The following is a 27,894-nucleotide window of genomic DNA, read 5'->3' as shown; positions in this document are numbered from 1 at the left end:
TTTTCCCAAAGTTCTGGAGGCTGGAAGTCCAAGATCAGGGTGCCAGCAAGACTGAGTTCTAGTGAAGGCTCTCTTCCTGGCTTGCAGACGTCTGCCTTCTTGCTGTGTTCTCACAAGGAGAGAGATCTCCATAATCTCTTCTTCTTCTTAAAAGGGCACTAGTTCTATGGGATTAGGGCTCTATCCTCATGACCTCATTTAACCTTAAAGGCTCTATCTTTAATACTGTTATATAGGGGGTTAAGCTTCAACATATGAATTGGGTTGGGGGACACAACTCAATTCAAGCATTAGTAGGTAGCAAAAAGATGGAAGGGGGAAAGCAGAAAAGGGATATGGATAAAACTCAGACAAGTTTTAAAAGTAGATGTACATCTGAAAGGATTTGTTGATGGATTACCTGGTATAGCTGGTGAGCAGAGAGGAAACAATCAAAGTTTATGTTCAAGTTTGGGGCTGGGGCCACTATGCTAGGTAGAGGAGTTCTTTAAGAAGAAGGAAAGAAACTTTTAAAGAACCCAAATGCCCAAAACCACAACAGGGGCAAAGCTTCCTTCCTGGCTGTGACAATACCCCAGCAGTCACACAATTTGGTTCCCAGAGCTAGCTAATCATTTGGGACCCCTCAAAACCAATATTCTTTAAATATTCATCCAACAGTTATTTGGTAGAAGCAGGAAAAAAATTAATAAAATTATATTAAAATATAATTATATTTATATAACATAATAAAATTATAAAAAATAAATCGATTTACTAATTTATTGACACAGCCAAATTCAGTTATAGCCAGAAAAAAAATTGGGCAGAGGGAGCACAGATAAAACATTTCCCCACTTTTGTGTAATACTTGTTCTCTCTCCAGTTTTCTTTTATAAGTTGTTTGGAAGGGGAATATTTTTAAAAGTCTAAGGACACATATTTAAGGGCTTGAAATTTTGGTAATAACATATAACACAGACTCTTGCATTTCAGTTACAGAATTTTTGCTGGGTCTGTAGACTTTAAATCACTGCTATTGTACATGCATCCAAGAAGACAGATCACAGTACAAACACACACACACATACACAAATACACACATATGTACACACTGGAAGACCAGGTGTGCTGTCTATTTTGGCAAGAGAGAAAATACTGTATTTTGCTGATTTATTTCAGGTATGTGTGCCTCTTTTTTGATCGGCAACCCTGGAAACTCCCCACTTGCTGCTCCTCCACCCAGCCTTGCTCCTGCCCTCCTGCTGATCTCCCAGCCCGAGACAGAAGAGGCTCTCCAGGGCTGTGTTCTTCAGCTCAGGTTTGCTGATGCTGCAGCAATGCATGGGGCTCTTCAGACAGTGGCCAAGCAGGCACCTTAGGGGAGTGGCTACGCTGACCCCACTGGCAAATGAAATGATGACTTCACTTCAACCCTGAAGCTGTTATATAGAGAAAGCTTAGAGCCTGACTAGAGCCAGATAAACCTTGGCTTGAATCACCACACATTCTGTGCTGTTTGTGCAACCCTCAGCAAGTACATGATCCTTCTGAGCCTTAGATGTTCATGTGTAAACTAATGAAACCTTGCCTGAGGAAGGCATGTAGCCAGTTTCTCGCCTTGGGATAAAAAAATCTGTTCGTGGGTCCTATTTGGAGATCTGGCATCTGTGCTATTGGTAAGTAGCAACTCAAATTCTGTAAACAATGCCATCCCTGAATGACAATTTCACTTTTACTCCACTTCCTCTAGTCTCTGCTCATCTTAGTCTTAACAATTGGCATGTCAACTTACTAACTAAAACAGTTGGATATGTGACGATTTCAGAAACGTTTGCTTCCCCACCCAGATAAATATCTACTTCATGGGATCTTAAGGGAGAAAATGAAATGACATGTAATTCTCCTAAATTCTATATGATATACATTTTCTATTGTGGTAATAAAAACCATAACATAAAATTTGCCATCTTTACCATTTTTTAATGTACAGTTCAGTAGTGTTAAGTGTATTTACATTGTTGTGAAACAGATCTCTAGAACTTTTTCATTTTGTGAATCTGAAACTCTATATCCACTAAACAATAATTTCCTTTTTCCCCTCCCTTCTGCCCCTGGAAACCACCATTCTACTTTCTGTTTCTAAAAATTCAACTACTTTAGATATCTCAAATAAGTAGAATCATACAGTATTTGTCTTTCGTGACTAGCTTGTTTCACTTAGCACAATGTCCCTCAAGTTTTACTCTGTGCAATCACAGAGTGATTTTCTTCATTTTAAGGCTGCATAATATTCTATGCATGTATATACACCACATTCTGTTTATCTGTTCATACATTAAGAGTTGCTTCTTGGATAATACTCCAGCCTGTGCATAGTCTACAGGGTTTGACACAGCAACAGCTGCACTGGAGCACAGCCAGGGATACCCAACCCCCAAGTCTCAACACACTCCTCTACGTGACTTTGGCCTTTGTTGACTGTTGGACCTGAACAGAGAAGGGAAGTCTTGCCCATGAGATGGGGCCAGTCTGTTCTGAGCACCCGCTATCTGCTGGCCTCTTCCAAGGTCCCTGCCTGCCCACTCCTATTTGCAATGCATCCTGAGATGTCCAACTGGGGTGCTTCCTGATGGCCACTACCATAACTCCTTTGCTGGCAGACCCTGCCTAACCATCGGAGAACTTAAGCAGACAGGCCCCCACTGACATGCACCCACCCACAGCCGCCTCCCACTGCTTTGGTGTGTGTGCACAACCTCACCACCCTATTGCCACCAGTGCACACAGGCACAAACCTCACCATCACCAACCCCCACCACCAACATACACACTCACACCTTGCTGTGCCACCACTGCTACTGGTGCATACACATGCATGGACACAGCCATATTGCTGCCACCAGCTCAAGTGTGAATGCCACCATTTCTCCCTAACAGCATGCACACCCACCATTGTGCCACTGCCAGCACGCACACACTCCACTGAATCACTGTCATTGCCAGCACATGTACACACACAGACACCACCACATCATCATTGCCAGCACATGCACACAGACCCTGCAGCCCCACCATCCCTGGCACTCATACATATGTGCAGACCCTGCCACACCTCTGCTACTGGAGCATGCACACACATGTGGAACTCACTGCCACATGTGTGGCACATGCACCAACAAAGCACTTTTGCCAGCAACCCCCATTTAAGTGTTGTTGCCAGCCCACCAGGAACACCTTGGCTCCTCCAGCACAGCAGGTGCATAACCTCAAGGGGTCAGAGAATAAAGTTGTGGTCCTAATAACAGCCCTCCAAGGGCATGCAGCCCAGGGGTGCAGAGCTAAGCCTTGGCCCCCAGAAATCATCCAGAAATGAAGCCAGTAGACTAAACCCAGCTTATATGACAATCAAACTTCAAGGGCACCAAAGGATATAAAAGCAAAAAAAACACATCCAAAGGAGAGCAACTCCAAGATCTGGGCCCACACAGATGAGAAAGAGCTAACACAAGAACTCTGGCAACTCAAAAAGCCAGAGTGTTTTCTTACTTCCAGATGACTACCCTAGCCCCCCAACAATGGCTTTTAACCAGGCTGAAATAGTATACATAGAATTGAGAATCTGGAAATCAATGAAGATCTTCAAGATTTGGAAGAAAGTTAAAACCCAATCCAAAGAATCTAAGAAATCCAATAAAATGATTCAAAAGGTTAAAGGTGAAAGAGCCATTTTAAGAAAGAAGCAAACTGATATGATAGGGCTGAAAAACTCACTACAAGGATTTCATAATAAAATCTGAAGCATTAACAGCAGAGTAGATCAAGCTGAGGAAAGAATCTCAGAGCTTGAAGATTGGTTTCTCAAGTCAACTATGTCAGACAAAAATAAGAAAAAGAACAAAGAAGAATGAACAAAACCTTCCAGAAATATGGGATTATATATGAGATCAAATCTACCAGTCATTGGCGTACCTGAAAGAGAGTGAGAGACCAAGCAACTTGGAAAATATATTTGAGGATATTGTCCATGGAAATTTTCCCCAACCTTGCTAGAGAGATTGACATTCAAATTCAGGAAATTGATAGGACCCCTGTGAGATACTATACAAGATGACCATTCCCAAGATGCATACTCATCAGATTCTGCAAGGTCAATGTGAAAGAAAAAAAATTAAAGGCAGCTAGATAGAAGGGGTAGGTCATCTACAAAGGGAACCTCATCAGGCTAATAGCAGACCTTTCAGCAGAAACCCTACGAGCCAGAAGAGAGACTGGGGGCCTATATTCAGCATTCTTAAAGAAAAATTCCAACCAAGAATTTCATGTACAGCCAAACTAAGCTTCATGAACAATGGAGAAATAAAATTCTTTTCAGACAAGCAAATGCTAAGTGAATTCATTAACACCAGGTCTGCCTTACAAAAGGTCCTTCACAGAGTGCTAAATATGGAAAGGAAAGACCATTATTGGCCACGACAAAAACACACTTCAGTACGTAGATAATTGACACTATGAAACAAGAATACAATCAAATCTGCATAACAATCAGCTAACAACATGATGACAGGATCAAACTCACAAATATCAATATTGACCTTGAACATAAATGGGCTAAAGACCCCATTAAAAAGCATGGAGTAGAAAGTTGGATAAAGAAGCAAGACTCTACTGTATGCTGTCTTTAAAAGACCCATCTCACAAGCAATGACATTCATAGGCTCAGAGTAAAGGGATGGAGAAAAACCTACCAGCAAATGGAAAACACAAAAAAGCAGGAATTGCTATTCCAATTTCAGACAAAACAGACTTTAAACAAACTGATTGAAAAAGACAAAAAGAGGAGTACATAATGATAAAGGGTTCAATTCAACAAGAAGACTTGGCCATCCTGAATATATATACACCCAACACAAGAGCATCCAGATTCATCAAACAAGTTCTTAGAGACCTATGAAGAAACTTAGATAACCACATAATAATAGTGGGAGACTTCAACACTCTACTGACAGTATTAGACAGATCAAGGCAGAAAACCAACAAAGGTATTCGGGACCTAAACTTCACACTTACCAAAAGGAACTAACAGACATCTACAGAACACTCCACTCAACAGCAACATAATAGACATTCTTCTCATCTGCACATGACACATACTCCAAAATGGACCACACCCTCAGCCATAAAACAATTCTCAACAAATTCAAAAAAATAAAAGCCAAATCATACCAATCACACTCTCAGACCACAGCACAATAAAAATAAAAATCAATACTAAGAAAATTTCTCAAAACCATACAATTACATGGCAATTAAACTTCTCCTGAATGACTTGGTAAACAATGAAATTATGACAGAAATCAAGAAATTATTTGAAACTAGTGAAAGCAAAGATAACACATAACAGAATTCTACAACACAGCTAAAGCAGTGTTGAAAGTTTATAGTGCTAAAAGCCCGCATCAAAGTTAGAAAGATCTCAGATTAACAACTTAATATCACACCTAGAGGAACTTGAAAAACAAGAGCAAACCAATGCCAACACTAGCAGAAGCAAAGATAATAACCAAAATGAGACCTGAACTGAATGAAATTGAGATGTGAATAACCATACAAAAGATCAATAAAACCAAAAGTTGGTGCATTGAAAGAATATATAAGATCCACAGACCACTAGCTAGACTAATAAAGAAAAAAAGACACACATAGACACAATCAGAAATGACAAAGTGAAAATTAATAATGACCCCACAGAGAAACAAAAAGGCTCAGAGACTATTATGAACACTTCCATGCACACAAACTAGAAAACCTAGAAGAAATGGATAAATTCCTGGAAACATACAACCTCCCAATATTAAATCAGGAAGAAATTGAAACCTGAAAAACCAATAATAAGTGTCAACACTGAATCAGTAATAACAAAGAAAACCTACCAATCAGAAAAAGCACTGGACCACATGGATTCATAGCCAAATTCTACCAGTTGTATAAAAAGGAGCAGGTACCAAGCCTACTGAAACTATTCCAAAAAACTGAGGAGAGACATGTCTCTCTAACTCATCCTAGGAAGCCGGCATCATTCTGATACTGAAACTTGGCAAAGACAAAAAATAGGAAACGTCAGGCCAATATGCCTGAAGAACATAGATGCAAAAATCGTCAACAAAATACTAGCAAACCAAATCCAGCAGCACATCAAAAAGTTAATCCACCAAGATCAAGTACACTTTATTTCTGGGTTGCAAGGTTGGTTCAACATACACGAATCAATAAATGTGATTCATCACACAAAAAGAACTAAAAACAAAAACCACATGATCATATCAATAAATGCAGAAAACGCTTTCAATAAAATTCAACATCCTTTCATGTTAAAAACCTCAACAAACTAAACATTGAAGGAAAATACCTCAAAATAATAAGAGCCATCTATAACAAACTCACAGCCAACATCATACTGAATGGGCAAAAGCTAGAATTCCCCCTTGAGAACTGGAACCAGACAAGCATGCCCACTTTCACCACTTCTATTCAAAATAGTACTGAAAGTCCTAGTAAGAGCAATCAGGCAAAAGAAAGAAATAAAAGACATCTAAAAGAAAGAGGAAGTCAAACTACCTTGCTTTGTAGACAATATGATTTTATATCTAGATAACCCCATGGTCTATGCCAAAAAGCTCCTGGATCTGATAAACAACTTAAGCAAGGTTTGAGGATGCAAAATCAATGTACAAAAATTAGTAGCAATTCTATACACCAACAACATCCAAGCTTAGAGCCAAATCAAGAACACAATCCCATTCATCATAGCTACACAAAAAATACCTAGGAATACAGCTAACCAGGGAGTTGAAAGATCTCTACAACAAGAATTACAAAACACTGCTGAAGAAAATGAGAGATGACACAAACAAATAAAAAACAGTCCACTCTCATGGATAGGAAGAATCATATTGTTAAAATGGCTATACTGCCCAAAGCAATTTACAGATTCAGTGCTATTCCTATCAAACTACCAATGACTTTTTCACAGAATTAGAAAAACACGATTTTAAAATTCATATGGAACCAAAAACAAGAAAGAGCCTGAATAGCCAAAACAATCCTAAGCAAAAAGAACAAAGCCAGAGGCAACACACTACCCTATTTCAAAGTACACTCAAAGGCTACAGTAACCAAAACAGCATGATACTTGTACAAAAACAGACACATAGATCAATGGAACACAATAGAGAACCCAGAAATAAGTCTGAACATTTACAACCATTTGATCTTCAACAAAGCTAACAAAAAGAAGCAACCAGGAAAGGACTCCCTATTTAATAAATGATGATGGGATTACTGGCTAGTCACATGAAAAAGATTGAAACTGGACCCCTTCCTTACATCATATACAAAAATCAATTCAAGATGCATTAAACTCTTCAATGTAAAACCTAAAACTATAAAAAACAAACCTAGAAAAAGCTAGGAAATACCATTTTGGACATAGGTCTTAGCAAAAATTTCATGACGACTCCAAAAGCAATCGCAACAAAAACGAACATTGACAAATGGGATCTAATTAAATCGAAGAGCTCCTGCACAGCAAAGAAATTATCAACAGAATAAACAGACAACCTACAGAATGGGAGAAAATTTTTGCAAACCATGCATCTGACAATGGTCCGATATCCAGAAACTATAAGAAACTTAATAATACATTAATAAGCAAGAAACAACTTCATTTAAAAGTGGGCAAAGAACACAAGCAGATACTTCTCAAAAAAAGACATACATGCAGCCAGCAAGCATATGAAAAAATGCTCAACATCACTAGTCATTAGAAAAATGCAAATCACACAAGTCAGAATGGTTACTATTAAAAAGTCAAAAATAATAGATGCTAGTGAGAATGCAGATAAAAGGGAATGCTTATACACTGTTGGTTGGAATGTAAACTAGTTCAGTTCACTGTGGAAAGCAGTTTGTAAATTTCTCGAAGAACTTAAAACAAACTGCCATTTGACCCAGCAATGTTATTACTGGGTACATAACCAAAGGAATGTAAGTCTTTCTACCATAAAGACATACGCACTTGTATGTTCATTGCAGCACAATAACAAAAACATGGAACCAACCTAAATGCCCATTAACAATGGACTAGATATAGAAAATGTGGTACATATACACCATGAAATACTAAACAGCCATTAAAAAGCACAAAATTATGTCCTTTGCAGCAACATGGATGCAGCTGGAGGCCATTATGCTAAGTGAATTAACACATGAACAGAAAACCGAATAATGCATATTCTCACTTATAAGTGGGAGCTAAACACGGACACAAAGAAGGAAACAATAGACACTGGAGCCTACTTGATGGTGGAGAGTAGGAGGAGAGTGAGGATTGTACCTATTAGGTACTATGCTTATTACCTGAGTGACAAAATAATCTGTACCCCAAACCCCTGTGACATGCAATTTACTCATAACAAACCTGCATATGTACTCCTCAAACTTGAAACAAAAATTGGAAAGAAAAAATACATATATATGACAGAACTGAAAAAAAAGAGTTGCTTCCACTTCTTGGCTATTTTAAATAATGCTACAATGAACACGGGAATGCAGATATCTCTTAACATACTGATTTTATATCCTTTAGAGAGATACACAGAAGTGGGATTGCTGGATCATAAGGTAATTTAATTTTTTGAGGAAACTTCATACTATTTTCCCTAATGTTTGCACCATTTTGCAATCCTACCAACAGTCTACAATGGTTCCAATGTCTCCACATCTTCATTAACACTTTATATTTTCTGTTTTTTTACAGTAGTCAATTAGTGGCTGTGAGGTGATATCTTACTGGGGTGTGGTTTGTTTTTTGTGGTGTGTGTGTGTGTGTGTGTGTGTGTGTGTGTGTGTGTGTTTTACAGACAGGTCTTGCTCTGTCACCCAGGGTGGACTGCAGTGGTGTGATCACGGCTCACTGCAGCCTTGACCTCCTGGGATCAAGTCATCCTCCTATCTCAGCCATCCCAGTAGCTGGAACCACAGGCATGCACCACCACACCTGGCTAATTTCTTTAATTTTTTTGTAGAGACAGGGTCTCACTATGTTGCCTAGTTTTGATTTGCATTTCTCTGATGATTAGTGATGTCAAGCATCTTTTCATGTGCTTATTGGCCATTTGTATATTATCTTTGGAGAAATGTCCACTCAAGTCCTTTGTACATTTTTAAATTAGATTGTATATTTTGTTGTTGTTGTTATTGAGTTGTAGAAGTTCTTATATATGCCGGACATTAACCCCTCATTACATATATGATTTGTAAATATTTCCCCCATTTTGTAGGTTGCCTCTTTACTCTGTTATTGTATCCTTTGATGCACAAAAGTTTTAAGTTCAATGTAATTCCGTTTGTTTATTTTTGCTTTTGTTTCCTGTGCCTTTGTTGTCATAGTCAAGAAATTACTCGCAAGTCCAATATTGTGAAATTACTCCTACATTTTCTTCTAGGAGTTTCATAGTTTTAGAGCTTACATTTGGGTTTTTAATCCATTCTTTATTGAATTTTTGTAAATGGCATAAGATAAAGATTCAACATCATTCTTTCACATGTACGGCATGTAGGTATCCAGTTTTTCCAACATTACTTGTTGAAGAGACTGTGCTTTCCCCACTGAGTGCTCTCAGCACCCTCACTGAAGATTATTTTAATCTTATACATGAGGGTTTATTTCTGGGCTCTCTACTCCGTTCCATTGGATTATTTGTCTTTATGCCACTACCACACTTTCTTTACTATTGTGGCTTTGCAATGTTTTGAATTCACAGAGTGTGAGACCTTCAATTTCATCTTTTTTTCAAGATTGTTTTGGCTATTCAGGGTACATTGAAATTCCATAGAAATTTTACGATGACTTTTACTATTTCTGCAAAAATGTCATTGCGGTATTGATCAGGATTGCTTTGAATCTGTAGATTGCTTTGGGTAGTATGAACATCTTAACAGTATTAAGTCTCCCAGTCCATGAACACAAGATGTCTTCCAATTTAATTGTGTCTTCTTTCATTTCAAATTTCAGCAACATTTTGTCATTTTCAGTGTAAAAGCCTTTCACTTTGACATAAAATTTTTAAAGGATGTGCCACAAGTTCTGAAGATTATTTGAATAAAAAACAAAACTACAGCTAAAAGTAATATAAAAGAGGACAACAACACTGAAAGAAGATCAGTCTTTGCATAACATAAATAGTGGTATTTTACACTCATTTGTTCAAGAAACCTTTATTGGTCTCTTACTATAACCACATTTGCACAAAGCAGCAGGAATGCTGAGATTAACGAGACATGATGTTCACCGTCTGGAGAGAAAGACAGGGAAACCAGCGATGTCCTTATAATGACAGAGCCTTCACCAAGGTGGGTTCAGAGTTCTGTGCTGTGCAGAATAAAGGGTACCAGCTGGAGGGAGTGGAGTAAGGAGAAGCTTCCAGGAAGGGAGGACACCAGTGTGGAGACTTCAAACATAGGCAAAAACAAGGCAAAAAAGCACACTTCACGACGATTGCTAGTAACTGTTTTGTTTTGATAGAGTGAGAAGAATGTAAGTAGAATGAATTTATGAACTTTGTGCAAAAATCAGCATCATTAATTCAGAGTGCAATGCAGAGTCCATATGTCTATATATAAATACACTTTAACAATGGTAATAATTAAAATGCTTATTAAACACTTACTGTGTGTTAAGCACCATAGAAAGTATCTTACGTGCATTGCCTCATTTAACCCTCACCCCAATACCATGAGGTAAGTAATGTCATTAGTATCAATTTATAGAAGAGAAAACAAGGGCTTAAGAAGGTTAAGTAACTTGCTTAAGGTCATGCAGCTAATTACTAGTAGAGCTAGGATTCAAACCATCATTTAACAGCAAAGGTGCAGCTTCCCCTATAAGCAAATGTATACGTGAAAATATACAGGGATGACATGCATTTTTTAACTTATTTCACTGAGGCTGAAGAGATGTTTCTGAAAAATCTAAAACATAAGTGCTGAAAAGAAACCTGCAGATTACTCTCAGGCAGAATATATTTGATATATTTGATACTGAGAAAATTATTGATACTAGTTTAAGGTGTTACTATTAGAACCCTCCCTGGTTTCATCTCAGGCTTTTTCATAACTACCCAACAACATAACACAATTGCCTCTGGCACCCTGGACAAATCTGCAGAGGTTATGGAATAGGTGAAAATCTAGGAGCACTGACTTACTTCCTTAATTACTGAACAAAGTACAAGTGGTCACCAGGGAAAAATAAAATGCCTCTCTTTATTAACTAGACAAATACAATAGAAAAATTATGGTTTCTAAGCAATGCTTATCTTGCTGTTGTCACCCCTGAGCAAATTTATTCCTACTAGACAGGAATAGATAATTGTACTCAAGGTAAGATGATAATATTAACAAAAAGATAAATTAAAAATACCAAGAATTAAATATTGCCTATAAAATGGAGCTAAGACTAATTAGACATGGTAAACAATAAAAGGAATTCATATTGAGTTGTCCAACTGAAGCAGTGATTTTCTTCTATGTGATTCTGTTATAGAATGTATTGTTTTTATTTAATAAGCTTAGTCTATATGATCAGCATTACAACAATTTTGCTTCTCTGTGTGTTCCTTACTGTTTGACACAAGTCCTTGAAAAAAAATTATTATCTTAACTTTGTTTATACTCCAGTGATTATTGTTTGGCAATTTAGCCAAATTGGAGGGAGTAGGGGGAAGGAAGATGACACAGGATTTTTTCAGATTTAGCCAATTCTTATGAATCTTCTTTTGCCCCACACACCCCATCACCACCCATACATGCCATGCACCCAGTGTTTGAGAAATTGCAAAACCTAAAGAGATAATTAATTTCAAGATTTAAATTGGAATATTCCCAGTTTAAGAGAGCTCTCTTCTGTTTTCTCTTTCAATTCTTGTTGCCATTTATGTTCCATACTGAAATTTAGAGGCAGATGCACGTGACATCACAAAGACAGTCTGTTTTTGTTCTTTCTCATGCACGAAAGCTTCTTTCAGTTCCGAGGATGCAGGTAGAGCAGGCAATCAAAAAATTAACCCACTGGGGCCCACAGAAGTTTGCACTGCAGAGGGTAACCATGGGGCAAACACCTACATTAATGTAAAGTTTGGCCACACAAAAGCTACATTTTAAATGCTTGTATTAAGTACAATAATTTTTTTAAATATAGGAAATGAAAAACTTTCATAGGTATTAGATTCAGATACACAATGAAATTTCAGGAAATGTCAATAATTAGGATGTTGAGAAATAAGAAAAATAAATCTAGTTGTGAATAATTATTATATACATAAAGCCACATGTGCATGCACACACATGCACACTCAGATGCTTTGGAAAATGTTAATATTTTTGAGAAGCTTGTATCTAGGCTCCACACTTGGCAAAGACGTCTTTGACAAAATTCTTGCCTTTTTTTCTTAAAAGGGATGAAGGCCATTTAACCAACTTGCTAGACAGAATTTGTTGCTAATGAACACAGCTACGTTAAAGAATCAGGCAAAATGTTAAAATAGTATGTATCTGCTTTCAATGCATTTTAGTTCCAAATGGACTAAACACTGGTGTCAGCAAGTGAAGGGGAGATAAGGGACAGACCAAGAATACATCATGTGGAAAAAATTGCATTAGGCCAAGGGAACAATATTCCTCAAATACTGCTGAGGCTAGGATAATAAGAAATAAAATTTATACAAGGGGAGAGAGAAGCTGAGCCTAGGTCCTGCTAAATACTGCCCTGGCATTGTCAAGTTTTTAAGCATATATTTAAATATGAGAAATATATGAGTACATCTACTGAATTTATATATATATAATATATATCAGTATATATACTATTTAGTCAATATTTTCATATAATATATATATACTGAGAACCATGGGGGTTCTTTTTTTTCAGGAAAGATGAAAATTATCCTAGCACAGAAGAAAATAATCATATCCTCAGTACAATTCTAGGCTCAATTATATTCATTTTGTGTTCTTCATGCAAAATAGCAGAGGTACACTAGGGTAGAATTGCTGGAATTAACCTTCCATTCCTCCTTTGGTTTTTAAGAGGGCAAGATCAAAGACAAGGTCCCATAAAATCCATTAATATAAAAACAGAAATTGCTGGGGGCTGGGGAAGAACTCCAAAGAAAATTACCTCCTCCCTTTTAGTACAAAGCACTGTCAGAAAGAACTTCCCTTTATTTAGATCCTTTTTAATATACTACCTATAATTCAAGTGAGAAGATTGGTTGATTTATCCGGGGAGGGGAGGGGATTTTATATGGAGGAAAATTAAAAGGAAAGAAATCGAGTTTTAAATAGGCCTTGCTGAGCAGATAGATAAACCCACTCTGTGTATATGTATCACTTCCAAATGCTAGACCGACCCCAAGACCTGGCTGCATTTGCTGAGACCTATCATTGTGCTTATTTATTTCTGTGCATTATCCTGTAATGGCCCCACAGAGATGATCTTCTTTCAGCACCATCTGCTACTAGGAAAAACAAGAACGTACACTACACCTGTTACAAGCTTCTCTGCATTGTAAGCCTTTTCTCTAGACAAAACGGTAAATTGTGTAAGTAATAAACAGGAATCCACCAGCTGATAGAAATATACAGGTCCCGACGCTGGCACATTTTATTCAAGTTCCTAACTGGTATTGAAATTGTAATTTTACCATGTAAAGTAATCTATAGAACATGTCAGTGCTTAACACCAAAACACAAAACCAAAAAACTGGTTATCCAAAGATTGTCTTGGGACTTCACATTCTGTAGATGTAATTTCCTCCAGAAGTACTGTATGGCATAAATATTTATGATCAATAGTCTAAGAAATCACAAAACTTGCTTGACATCAGCTTTGGTAAAGTATATCTATATTAATTTAATAAATATTTATCGCATCCCTACTAGGGCCAGGCGCCACTCTAGGTACTGAGAAAAATGGGCTTGTTGCACCAGGACAGAGGAATCCTGTCGCCTTTCACTTGCTTCCAGCCCTTGCTTCCTCCAGCCCTTTGCATTCATCAGCTTCTCCCTGCAGAGGACAACCCAGAGGCAATGTTGACTGTAAGCCAGCTTTTTAAGAAGTCTTCAGAGACAAATCTTTTCTAAACACCCCCAAAGGCTACTCCTGCACATGTAGTTTCATATAAACTATGTTGGTGAAAAACTTCCTGTTCTAGGAAAAAAATTACCTTGTGCTAAACATGTTGCAATTTTTCTTAGTCTAGTATTTAATCACAGGCTATTGTCTTTACTTAATTAGCAATGAATCACCCACAAAAATATTTACTGACATCAGTTGTAGCCCCAGAATTTTAGTCAATGCTTATAAAAACGACAAAAAGTGTTACTGATATGATTTGGCTCTGTCTCCCCACCCAAATCTCATCTTGAATTTTAATCCCCACATGTTGAGGGAGGGACCTGGTGGGAGGTGATCGGATCATGGGGGCAGTTCCCCCATGCTGTTCTCGTGATAGTGAGTGAGTTCTCATGAGATCTGATAGTTTAAATGTGTGGCACTTTCTCCATCCCTCTCTCTCCTGCCGTCACGTAAAACGTACCTTGCCTCCCTTTCACCTTCCACCACAACTGTAATTTCCTGAGGCCTCCCCAGCCATGCAAAACTGTGAATCAATTAAACCTCTTTTCTTTAGAAATTACCCAGTCTCAGGTAGTTCTTCGTAGCAGTGGGAAAATGAAATAATACAGTTACTATTTCATATTGGAAGCAACTAAAATTTTTGGAGACCTACTCTATTCCAGGCACTATCAGATCCATCTCATCAGAGTTCTTCATGGATTCCTAATCTTTTTGGGACAACATAATTCACCTGAAGCAGTTAGATAGTAACTGCCATCTCAGGTGGTATGTTATTGACTGTGAATCTCATGTGAACAAAAACAAGGGAGAAAATAGAGTGGGCCAATCAAAGCAGGGTTTACTAGTGGGATTTGATCTAAGCTTTAAAGGAGGGAAAGAATCTCTAAGGAGACAGAGGATGGAAAGATATTCCAAAAAGAGATGATTACAGCTACCAGAAAAAATGATATGGATAAATCAGTAAAAATCTATTAGCAGGGGTAGGAAAAATCACCTACTCTATTGAATTTGGGTCAACAGCATTGTGTGAGTGCATGTGTGGGTATGAGTGTGTGTACACATGTGTCATAATTTAAGGCATGTACATGTGTTAAATGTGTGTAAAACAAAAAGCAGAGAAAGTCAGAGACTATTTGATTCATTCAAAAATACCTCCATATGTAATTGCTTTTGAGGAATAATAACATCTCAAATTGCCATACCATGCTTATATACATTATAAAGAAATATCAGTAAAATTCCTAGCCCACAATTAGAATTATATCTTATAAAATGAGTATCTCCCATTTGAATAGTCAGCCTTAGGAACAAATGAGTCTTGTCTATTAATTAAATGTGTTAATCTTTCACATTCAGATTTCAATAGAAGAACTTTGGAGAGAAGACCAGAATGCTCTCATACCAATAAATCTAAATTTATAGCCACCTCACAGGAAACAGATCCAGGCATTGTTATGGACCACCCAATAAAGACATTTGCTGAATGCATGGCCACGATCAAAAAAGTGCATAAATTATGCTGTATTAAGAAGTAAATAGGGAATAGAAAAAAATGCCATAAGGCTGTAACATAAACCAGTGGGGCATCCTCATTTTTCTGTGTAACAGATTCTGCTCACTCGACCACCAAAGACAAATACCTAGGGAGGTGGCAGGACATGCAAAGTTCCTATTGCATGTCCTGTCACCAACTGCAATGACTGAAGTCCCTTCTCCAATCATCAAGAAAAGGCTGAGGTACCCTGTTTTGTACTTCTGTGTGTTTTTGTTTTGCTTTGCTTTGCTTTATTGCTGACTAGCGGAAGAGATCGTTAATCTCTGGGAATAGAAGCTTCTAAAGGTCAAGGCCCTTATCTGCCTTGTTGCCTGCTATATCCCCCAGTGCCTAAAACAGAATCTAGCACATAGATGCTCAGAATGCATTTATTCAATGTAAATGATAAATCTATGTATTCACTTAGTAGCGTTTGATACATGTGAACACTAATCATTATACAAAACAAAAATGTATGCTTGTTGAGAAGGGAAAAAAATTGAAAACAACTATTTTTTGGAGTGTCTCCAAATTCTTTTGAGACAGACTTATTCAGAAAAGAGGGAAGGAGAAGATGGTTAGATGGCCCCCAGCTTTCCAAATGAATCAGGTTGTATGTAGCTTTCTGGAAGCTTACAGGAAAAAAGAAAATAAAATATCTGCTCTGTATCAGACATCCAGTAATAAGTTATTTCAGAAAGTTGTCAGTTATTTCAGAAAGTTGGAGATCTCAGAGAACTTTCAAGGTGGGCACTGGTATAAGACATGAGAATTCAGGGATGGTTCAGGAAAAGCGGAGAGAAGCCCTGGAGGCCTCCAAAATTTCCCAGGGGGAAGGACTTAGGGGCAGCATACTTAGGTGAGACTACAAAAATATGGCTCGAATTTGTGTAAGAGTTCAGTTTTTTTGTTAAATCATGTGTTGATTTGGAATGGGGTCGCAGATAGAGGTTATGGGGAAGCGGCTTACAGCTGCCCTCCCTACCCCAAGTATCCCTTGGTTCTGCTCTTCAAAAGCAGACTTTTGATGACCATGAAAAGCAAATCTTCTGTGAGGCAAAACATGGCCACAGACATGTGGCATCTGAGAGAAGTTCAACACAATTCCAAGTCTAAGGGGCATTTTCGAACCCAGTCACTCTCCGGTATCACCATTGGCTAAACCAGTCACCCTCTGTGATAGACTGAATGTTTGTGTATCCCCAAAATTCACATGCTGAAATCCTCCACCCCAAAGTGATGGTGCTAGGAGTTGGGGCCTTTGGAGGTGATTAGGTCATGTGGGCAGAGCCCTCATGAATGGGATGGGTGCCATTATAAAGGAGGCCTGAAGGAGCTGCCTGGCCCCTGCCCTCAATGTGAGGAAGCAGTGAGAAAACGACCTTCTAGGAATAAAGAAGCAGAGCCTGACCAGACATCAAATTTGCTCATGCCTTGCTCTAGGACAACACAGCCTTGAGAATGGTGACCAATTCAGGTTTGTTGGTTAAGTCACTCGTCTGTGGTATTTTCATTATAGCAGCCAATCATGGCTGCCACGTGCTGAGCACCAGGAGACTAGCGTTTCCCTGCCTGGGTGACAACAGTGGTGGCTGAGCTTGGCTCTGATTGGCTGTTTGAGAAGGACTTCTCCAATCAGACGTAACGTGTCCCCACCCTGACGAGAAACACACCCACCCTCAGTCCCTCAACTGCAGAGGGGCCTGCTGGAAAGACAGAAACAAAGGCTGCTGCAGCTGGCTTGAGAGATCTTTAGGCATTGGCCTAACTTGACTTTTCATCAGCTTGCTTGTCTGTCTCTTTCCTAATCCCATTTGGCCTTTTGTCTTGGATAAAAGAGCATTGATAAAATAGGGGAAACCAGCACTGTTTGAGGCTCTTCTACTTGTGAGCATTTTACATAATCATTAAAACAACTCTATAAAGAGATATCCTATTTTTATAATTGGGGACCAGAAACATTACGCAGTTTGCCCAGTTACAAACTTGGATGTCACAAAACTGAACTCAAACACTGTTCACGTGCGCTCAAAGCTGGGGTTCCTCCAAGGACAGGCTGTGCTTACAGGCTTTGTCAGCCAGGAACTCTAGCATCTGTATTCAATGGGGTCCCAAACAGACAGGACACTTAACTATAGGAGGGAGGATTTGAAAACTGTTTATTTACCAAAGGGACAGTTCATAAAAGTGTGGGTGTATAGGAACTATAGGGATAGTGCAACAACATGAAACTAACTGCAGCAACAATTATTTATCATCCCTAGGCCAAAAGAGATCAAGGGAGGGGGTGGTCACCCAAACCTTCAGAAGAAGGAGATCACCCCCTCCTGAGAAGTAGTGACCTTCAGCCCAAGGCACAAGGCTAAAGTATTCTAACCTTACTCTCCTCTCTCCCTTCTATCTCCTGTCAGGGACCCATTAGGCAGACCAACTAGAAGCCAGGAGTCAGGGTAGCTCTGTTGATGTAGTCCATAGAAGTCAGCCTCCAGGGGCACAGAACTGGGAAAAGAGAATGGAGAGGGGGTCAGGAGAAGCCAATGGAAGATATACAGCATTGCCCTGGGTTTTTGGTTTTGTTTTTTTAAAGACAAAATTGGGAAAAACACCTTTGCCTTCTTCCTGGTTTTGCCTAAGACAAACCCAATTCCTGAAGGTTACCAGATATGCTGGTTTCCAAGCTCCCTGGAGGGCCATCTAGGTGTCAATGGCGCACAGGACCTGCTCCATGTAGCAGGCATGTTTGTAGCACATGTAAGGATAGGCTCCAGTCCAAGACCACAGTGGTCCGTGTGGCCACCAGGTCACAATCACACAGGATGAGGAAGTGAAAGGAAGAGGAGAGAAAAGCACATGAGGGTGTGGATGCTGCCCAATCACGGTTCCCACTTCCACACTTCCATGCATGCTCAGCCTCCACTCCGGGGCGGATGGTCCAGCCCAGGAAATAGCAATCTCAAACAAACATGAAAGATGATGATTCTAAGCAAGAAAGAAAATAGCCCTGGGGCTGACACTCGGAAATGTCAAGATAGATTCAAATTGTTAACCTTTTTACTTCTGCATTTTAAAGAAAGTGTTTCTGTCAAGCCATTTAAATGCTGTCTACCTGCCTCCCTGAAAATGTACTCTAAAAATTCATTATGTCTCTGTTTGAAAAAAAAAAAAAGCTTTTTCTCTTGTGATCTCAAATGTGTAGCCCTTTTCCAAGAGCCTCTCGTTCTTTCCCTCTAGGAATGACAAAGAAAGACTGCACAGTTGGCCGTCTTTTACACCTTTGTTATCTTATTCTTTTGTTCATCTCTCTTTACCCACGAAGAGTTTTATCAAATGCCTACTAGATATGACAACAAAAATCATGTTGTGCTTTACAAAATTCTCATATTTCATTTTGGCTGATATTTACAACAAATTTTACAAAGTCAGTTTGGCAAATATTCCTATCTCCCTTTTATAGGCAGGGAAACAGAGCACTGAAAAGACTGCACTTCTTGTCTATGGTGACATGGCACAATACAGCCCACTCTGCCTCCCAGGCTGTCCATGACCCAGCTGGAGCTGTCTCTCCAGCCCCATCTTACACCATTCATTCCTCACCCACTGAGCTCCAGTCTCTGCTTGCATTTCTTCACGGCACTGGTTATCATCTGATATCACCTAATGCCTTTGTTTGTTTCTTGTTTATTATCTTTCTCATCCCCTAAAGTATTAGCTCCACAAAAGCAGAGCTTCTCTCTCAGCTTGCTTCTGTATCCCAGGACCTAGAATATATACTTTTCAAAATTTCAAATTGCAAGTTTATGTAATTTTTTTTAAAAAAAATACCTATTTATCCTCTATCCTGTAAGATACGTGAGAGAAGGAACCATGACTGTCTAGCTTACTGCTACGCAACACATATTAGGCACTTAGTACATATTTTATTAAAGGAAGGAAGGAAAGGAGGAAAGCAAAAAGAAGAGGGAAGGGAAGGAAAGAAGCAATGAAGAAGGCAAAGAAAAATGAGCTCATTTATTTTGGCCTTAATATGGGCCAGGCATTCTGCCATGCCATTTATATTCTTTTCTCATTTTGTCCCCAATTACCTGCAAATACAGATGCTTCTTGACTTGTGATGTGGTTACATCCCCATAAACTCACTGTTAAGTCGAAAATATTTTAAGTGGAAAATGGGTGTTATGTAGACATGAAGGGATTCAAAAACACAAAAGACAATATCACAAAAAACACTGGTATCGCAGACATGGTAGAGTGTCAGTTATTTATGCTCGTGATCACCTAGCTGACTGGGAGTTGAAGCTCACTCCCACTGCCCTGTGTCATGAGAGGATATTATACCCCATATTGCTAACTGAGCAAAAGGTCAAGATTCACAATTCAAAGTATAGTTTCTACTGAATTCATCTCAATTTCGCACCATAGTAAAGTGGAGAAATCTCACGACAAACCCTAAGTTGGGGGCCGTCTGTAGACATGTTATCTCTAGTTTTGCAGGAAACGAAGGCAAGAGGAGATTAAATAACTTGAGCAATTCTCAAAGGAACCAAGTATAGAGCAATGTCTCCACGCCCCAGGCCATACTCTCTGCAACCACATCACACTACATCGAAGCACACTTACGCTTCAGACTCCTATGGAGGAGGAGCAGGGAGAGGAAGCTACAGGAGGATGGCTTTAGTTCAATGTAAGAAAGAATCTTTTCTTGGTACGTGCTGTTCTGGGCTAGAAGAAGCTGCTTTAAGAAGGAACAAACAGGCTGCCAGGTAGAGAATGGTGAGCTGGCAGGCGAGGGAGGGACCCTCACAAGGCAGGTGGTCAAATGGGAAGATAAGCAGATCAGAAAAATCGGTACCCCACGAATGGAGTGAACAAATGCATATACATTATGAGGGTAATGGAGACAGTTTTTCACCATCAGAGAAGGGAGCTACAGAAAGAGGGGAAGCTGGAATGAATCCTATGGTTTTGGGCACACCTGGCACATGTCTTTTAAATTATAAATACCATTCTCCACTAAAGAAACCAGGATTCTTTGTACTACTGACATAGTTCAGTAAGTGTGAAATTATTTCTAAATAAAGAGTAAAGAAAAAAAGGTAGCAAATTTCATTTTTAGTGGATACAGACGCATAGGCCAGCCCAGTGTTTCTCAAACTTTAAAGTGCCTACAGATCTCACCTGGGCATCTGGTTAAAATGCAGATTCTGATTCTGTGGGTCTGGGGCCAGCCAAAGTTCCTGTGTTTCTAACAAGGTTTCAGGTGAAGCTGATGCTGCCAGCCCACACACCAAACTAAAAAAGTGAACTAGACACATGAAAACTAAGAACAATCTAATGAGCATTTAGGAAACACCTCATACTGTCAGGCATTGTACTAGGTGTTTAATGTGCATAGTCTCTAATCCTCATCTACATTTGATGAATGTGGCCCAGAAGGTAATGAGAATGAAAATAACTTGCCCAAAGCCAAAATGACAAGAGGAACAGCAGGCATTGGGCGTGGGAGTCAGATAGATTTTGGTTATAATTCCGGATCAATTACTTACTTTACAGAACCCCGGCAAGTTATTTAATCTTTCTGTGCTTTATTTTTCTCCTATTGGATTGCTAGTGAGGAATAAATGAGATAGTGACTATTTATGACTCAATGAAATGCCTAAACTATATAGCTAATGTAGTGAGTGGAGCTCACGCTTCGAAGGCTGTGCCCTTTCGCTGCACTGTGTAATGCATAGTGCATTCCAGTAGATAATCTTTGAGATCTCTCCCTCCCAAGCAGGAGTTTCTGTCATCCCAGAATGGAAATGTTTTATAGGCTTCTCCAAAAGAGAAGCCCAGAGAAAAATTATGTACGCACGTTGGCCAAGATTGAAGAAAAAGAGAAAAACCATCAGCCAAGATACACTGACCAGAATCAGGCAGACTGGTGCCGGTGGTGGTGAGGAGACCATCCTAGTTACAGCAAAGGGATCATGTAGCTGAACGAAACCAGCAACGCATGTGCAAGGGTAGGTGTGAGACAGCCAGTTGCTAGAATTCTTCAAAGGCAAATCTGAGGAGTGTAACTTGCTTTCTTCTGTAGGTGGCCCAGACAGTCTTGTTGCAAGACAAATCTCTGCTTATTGAGCAAATCCTCTTAAACTGTCTGAACATCAACAGACTGCAGCTTTGAAATCCATATTACAAATCGTAACACTCACTTGGAGTATCTTTGATGACTGAATTAATCTGCGAACCGAAATTTTTTTGTACACACAATGTGATGTTGCTAACATAAGGACTTATCACCGAACAAGAAATAACCACTTAATTAAACACACCTGGCCCACTTTAGTTGCTCAACTTCTGGTGTCTTCAACTTCATGGGTTTTAATTACCCTCTTGCCCGTCTCACAGTGGAATTCATTTTCTTTTGAAGCATCCACATTCATTCCTGCATCCATCAGAATGGACTTATTTATTGTCTGCAGAGATAGATATGTGCATCCTCTATTGCTCTTTGGGTCAAACACTTCCCATCCTGCTTATATTTCTCCAAGATTATTTAATTTCTACATTCCAACTCTTCACTTTGGAAAGTCTTACTATCACTCACTCAGATTTAAATTTCTGCGTCCTTTATGCATCACATCTCCCCACCTGCTCTCCTTGGATGTAAATTGGCTGAATGTCGAGAGAAAAATCATTCTTTGTTGCTCTGGTTCATCCTTCAGTGAACATACCCCAAGAACACTTGCTCCTAAACTATTTCTGTTTGCCAAGCAGCAGCCAGCCAGCAACCCACCCACCCACCTGATGGTTGGAGAAAGATGACAGAAGGGAGAAGAAAAGAAACTGGGGGAGGGGGCGGGGGGAGAAGAGAGAGAATCCACTGACCAATATCCTGGCCCTCTTCCAACCTGGGTAATTAGAGTCTGCCGCTATTTCGAACATTTTTCCCATTTGCAGTGTTTGTGCATGTGTGTGTGTATTGGGTAGGGGGAAGGGAACTCCATGAAAAAATTATTTTTTTCTGTTTTTTCTCAATCATGGCCCATTAGAAACAACCTTAAAATCATAAATATAATCCTGGGGAGAGAATCAAATGTCTCTGGGTTCCACCTCAAAAGAGCTCAGAGATAAGTAAACATGCAGTTTCCAAAGGTCTCAGACAGCTTTGGCAATCTCACAAAGCACCCTCCAAAAGCAGAAAGAAGGAAAGTTAAAATCAACACCCCCCCATTTTCTGGAACAATGTTAGAAGACAAGGAAGAGGGCTTGCTCCCTGCTGATGGCTCCTGCTTGACTCATCCACGTTTTGTCCTTGGCCTGTCCCTGCCTTGCTCTTCCAAACACCATCTCTCCAGGTGACATCCGGGGCACAGATGGGACTTGGGAGGATGGAAACATAAATTCTTGTAGCACAGCCAGCTCCCTCTTTTAGACAGATTGGGCTTTAGCCATTTGATAAACTAGAGGATTTAATTCAAGAGGGAGCAGCGAATTAAGTCTTAATACACAGCCAAGCAGTTTAAAACAATTTCCTTATCCAGTTTTTTTGCAAGACATCCACTATGTACACCTAATAGCAGAAAAGCACCAGCAGGTACCTTCAGGGGCTGGAGGGAGAGGCTTAAATAGTCCACCTCAAGCTTAATATTTTAATCATGAGTGTCACCTTGAAATTTGAAGAAAACTTTTTACTATACATACATGTACCTATAAAGTATGTGCTTAAAAAGTTTAGATTACTTAACCAGGTGATAAAAATTGATTGCTCATTTCTTTTATTGCCTTTATTCTTTCCTCTCCATGCTTTGTAGTGCATTTCTGGAAGCCCAAGAGGTACTAATGTCCCTGTTGGAGAAAGCCATCCCTGCCCCATGTCAGGCTATTTCATGACCCTGTGCCCCTTTTACATGTGAAGAGATAAAATTCTGGGAAAATGAATGAGGTTTATCTTCCCCTTAATCTTCAGGTTGCCCTGTAGATTCAAAAGCTTTGCTAAGAGGGCAAATAAGAGCCCTCCTAGCAATAAGAGCTAAGAGCCAGGAATGAGGCTCTGAATGGAGTTTTTAAAATTCAGAGCTGGGGAAATCGTTTTGAAAGCTGAAGTTTCCTATGTTAAAGTCAGACTTTTAGAGAGAGAAAGTGGAGTTTGAACCCTAAAAAGCTAATGGCTTGGGAGACTCGGAGAAGAAAATTTATAACATCAACTACAAAATAGAGTATATAGTAAAGTGTATTTCACAATCCTTTCTTTCTTTTTTTTCTCAATAAAAAGCTATTAAATTTCAAAAAGCTAGTAAAGGAAAGAAGTCAAAGGAATAAGACTTAATTTTAGGTAGTGGCTGTCTAAAGGACCCTTCTGCCCATATCTAGCCAGATCAAGAAAAACTAGTAAAACCTCCATGTAGGCTAGGTGTTTCCTGAGGAGAGGCAATCTGTAAGTTCCTTCCAGATGAAGCCCCCTTCCTGATCCCTCGCATGCTCCAACATCAAGTAGCCACAGACAAGTTGAAGAGCCATGTTTAGGCAAAGAAAGCTTGAGCAACTCCAATTCTCCTCAAGCCCTCAAGACTCAAGAATAGCATGCGACAGAGATGTCACAATAACACAATCAGACATGTTCCATGTTGATAAGTGTGTCTGGTGATGTGTCCCTCCCCATGCACTTGCATGAATGTTGCTGATAAATGACAAAATGCACACAGAGGAATGGATACAGCCCAGGTAAAGGAGAAGGGGCAGGAAGCAGAGACTATCACAGTCTTGAATGATCAAGTATTAAAATTAGTGACATTTTTAAAAGCAAGTTAAGGTTGAAGTAAATCAAGGATTCAATTAAGTCGGTCAATAATACTACGTGTGGATCACCTGAGGTCAGGAGTTCGAGACCAGCCTGGCCAACATGGTGAAACCCCATCTCTACTGAAAATACAAAAATTAGCTGGGCTTGGTGGTGTTCGCCTGTAATCCCAGCTACTCAGGAGGCTGAGGCAGGAGAATTGCTTAAATCCAGGAGGTGGAGGTTGCAGTGAGCAGAGATCGTGCCATTCCACTCCAGCCTGGGTGACAGAGCAAGTCTCCATCTCAAAAAATATTAATAATAATACCACAGTTGAACACTGTAGAACTTTTTACCCATGCCTAAAGTCTGACATCATTAAAGCCTCAAATATAATCCAAATGTGCATCTTCAGTGCCCTGTTAAAATATCAGAGGACATTTTCACTCTGCCATTGGAAAGACTGTATTGTATTAAATAAAATATTCTGAAACATTTCAACTTATCTTCATAGATGACCAGTTGTTATATTGGGTAACATTTATCTGTACAAATATCTCCACTTCTTCTTAGAAGTTTTCTATGTTAATAAATACCTGTTTGTCCAATAACCTTTCAGTAAACATCTATTGTAAGCTAAGTACTATGTTAGGAATATTGGCGTGAACCCCGGGGGGCGGAGCCTGCAGTGAGCTGAGATCGCGCCACTGCACTCCAGCCTGGGCAACAGTGAGACTCCGTCTCAAAAAAAAAAAAAAAAAAAAGAATATTGGTTCAGTGCCTAACACAGGGCTTTTATATAGTAGACATTTGATATTTATTGAACAATACATAAAAGATGGATAAAATACATCCTTGAGAAATTCGAGAGTTCTCAAGAATGTGTCAGTTGACCTATAAAGGTCGTCCAGTAGGCAAAAAGGATGCAAAATGGCCTGCAAGGAACTAGGAACTAGGACTCAGAAGCACAGGGCACTGTAGCTACTTTAGCCACAGATACTTCCTGGAAAGAGATTGATAAGGAATGTACAAGACAGTAGCATCAGACACCGTCACAGAAATGAGAATGACTGAGCGTGAGAAGTAGAGGTGCCTTCCAACAATGCCTGACCATACCTGAGCCCTCCAGAACTGAGACCTCTCCTGAGAGAATAGGACAAGAAGTGGGGTGAAGGAATCTTTAATTGAGTGAATTTTATCCCAAAGGGACTAAGGGAAATGTGACTGAATATATGTAGGTTTGGTAAGATTGCAATTTCTGCTCTTAGGAAAACAGGGAGGTTTTAAAATTAAGCTCAGTTCAGTTGTAGAGAAACAAAGAAAATTTCATATTTGTACTTTTCACCATAAAATTACCCATAATAGACAGATGAGAGAACTAGGGCTTTCTTGGTACTCACAGTTGGAATGTAACGGAGCACGTTTCCAACCCCAGGCTGCGTGGCTCCGGAATGACTGTTCTTTCCACTGCACAGTGCAGTCCCTGTAAAAGACTCTGTCTCAGCTTGTCAGAGGATTTTTTTTTAATTTGTTATTTACATTTCCAAATATTTTTACAAAAACAGTGTTTTTCTGGTGTGTAAACTTCATAATGGCTAGTATTAAACTGTTTTTCCAGTTGACGGCATCATGTAATTATCCAAACTCAACAGATCGCTGGGGATCTGAAAGTTTTCTCTTAGCTCAACAGGTGTGTATGTAACAGAGGAGATTTGTGACCACCAGTCCTCTATGCTAGGTGATTTACTTCTGCAGTCTGATTCCTCTCTTATTAAATTGTGGTCTGCAAACCTGCACCATCAGCAGCCCCTGGGGGCTTGCTGGAAATGCAAACTCTCCGGACACACCTTGGTCAACTAAATCAAAATCTGCATTTGCACAAGATTTCCTGGTGATTTGCATGCACGTTATAATTTGAGAAGCTCTGTTCTACTTGACTCTAAGGATTGCTTCAGGTATTTACAGGATTACAGTCAGCCCTTCATATCTTGGGTTCCACATCCATAGATTTAACCAACCGCAAATGGAAAAAATTCCACAAAGTTCCAAATCAAAATGAATTTGCCATGCAGTGATGTGATGGCATTGTATTAGGTATTGTAAGTAATCTAAAGATAATTTAAAGTATATGGGATGATGTTCATAGGTTATAGGCAAATACTACACCATTTTATATAAGGCACTTGAGTATCCATGGATTTTGATATCTGCAGGGGTCCTAGAACCAATCCTCCTCAGATACTGAGGGATGACTGTACTTGCAACCACAATTTTGAAAGAAAAAACCACGTACCCAAACTCATTATTATATATTTTACAATGTACTTTGCATTTCTTAGAACTCTTCAGATTGAAAGTGACAACTCCAACCTGCTTAAACTAAAAAGAGACATGAATGTGAAGGCTCAGGTTACCAAGGGAAGAATAAGAACACAGGCTTCTTAGATTAATAGAACCAGATAAAATGCCACCAGCCTCTCATCCTTGTTATTTTCAGCTTGTCTGCTTCATTCTCTCTGGGAAGGTACCTCCTCAAAGCCAAGTACATGGCTATGAATAAATCTCAACCCTCCACTCATCTGCGGGTTTTGTCATCCAAGTGGATTCGAAACTTTTTCTCAAGCTCCAGCCCAGAAAACATCTATGAAAATTCTCTATTTAGCTAGCTTAGTTCAACTGTCCATCTGGGATCATCAACTGTGCTGAAGAGCCTAGAGTTTGGAAGTGAGGGGGTGAGGGACTTTCATAAGAAGAAGATGGCAGCTTTATTAAAACTACACAGTTGGTGTGGAGTTAAGCACATTTCTCAGATGAAAGGGCAAGGCAGTGCTGTAAGAAGGAGGAGGAAGTGCCAGGTAGGCAACCCAACAGCGTCTACTATATGCCAGGTTCCTTTCATGCCTCTCATTTTTTTGCTGTATTTCTTGAATATATATTTCTTTATTGAATATATATTCTCAAGTTCATGAACAATATACAACTTTAGGTCAAGGTCAAAAAATGTGGGCATAATAACAAAACACAATAAAATTTTTAAAAAATGATGTTTCTCAAAGTTGATTCTTTAACACATGATAATATTCCTAATAGAAAGGAGCAATGAACTGGAGAGACACATGCATCCTCGTTACCAAAAACATAATGGGCATCAGTTATGTGTGTTTCGTTTAACCAGTGGGATTAGCAAACAAATGCTCTCCTGCTTTTATTGACACTTCTTTCTCAGATTCAAAATTTACTTATTAAACTGATAGCACAAGTTCCCTCACTAACCCACTCTAGGCCAATAAACCTCTTTGTTAGTCCTCAAATACACCAAACTTTTTCCCAGGTCATTGCAATTGCTGTTCTTGCTAACTGGAATGATGTCCCTCTAGAACATCCCTTGGCTCACTCCTTCTCTTCATTCAAGCCTCTGCT

At 39.3% G+C, this 27,894-nt stretch overlaps 1 long non-coding RNA gene across 3 annotated transcripts in view; it reads right to left on the bottom strand.

Moving 5' to 3' along the window:
• Positions 1-27,894, bottom strand: part of LOC107986262 (uncharacterized) — a 59,101-nt gene that overhangs the window by 10,580 nt on the left and 20,627 nt on the right. The window contains exons 2-3 of one of the 3 annotated variants that reach the window (XR_001741599.2): positions 25,875-25,957; positions 21,610-22,171 (exon numbers count right to left, since the gene is read on the bottom strand). This is a non-coding gene — a long non-coding RNA (uncharacterized LOC107986262). Of the gene's footprint in view, positions 1-21,609; positions 22,172-25,874; positions 25,958-27,894 lie in introns of those variants that run through there. The other 2 variants (XR_001741600.2, XR_001741598.1) reach the window with 2 other exon arrangements.

The sequence above is a fragment of the Homo sapiens genome, chromosome 4 (genome assembly GCF_000001405.40).
Source record: "Homo sapiens chromosome 4, GRCh38.p14 Primary Assembly".
Taxonomy (NCBI): domain Eukaryota; kingdom Metazoa; phylum Chordata; class Mammalia; order Primates; family Hominidae; genus Homo; species Homo sapiens.
Note: the sequence above shows the minus strand (reverse complement) of the source record. Positions and strands in the feature narration are given on the sequence as shown.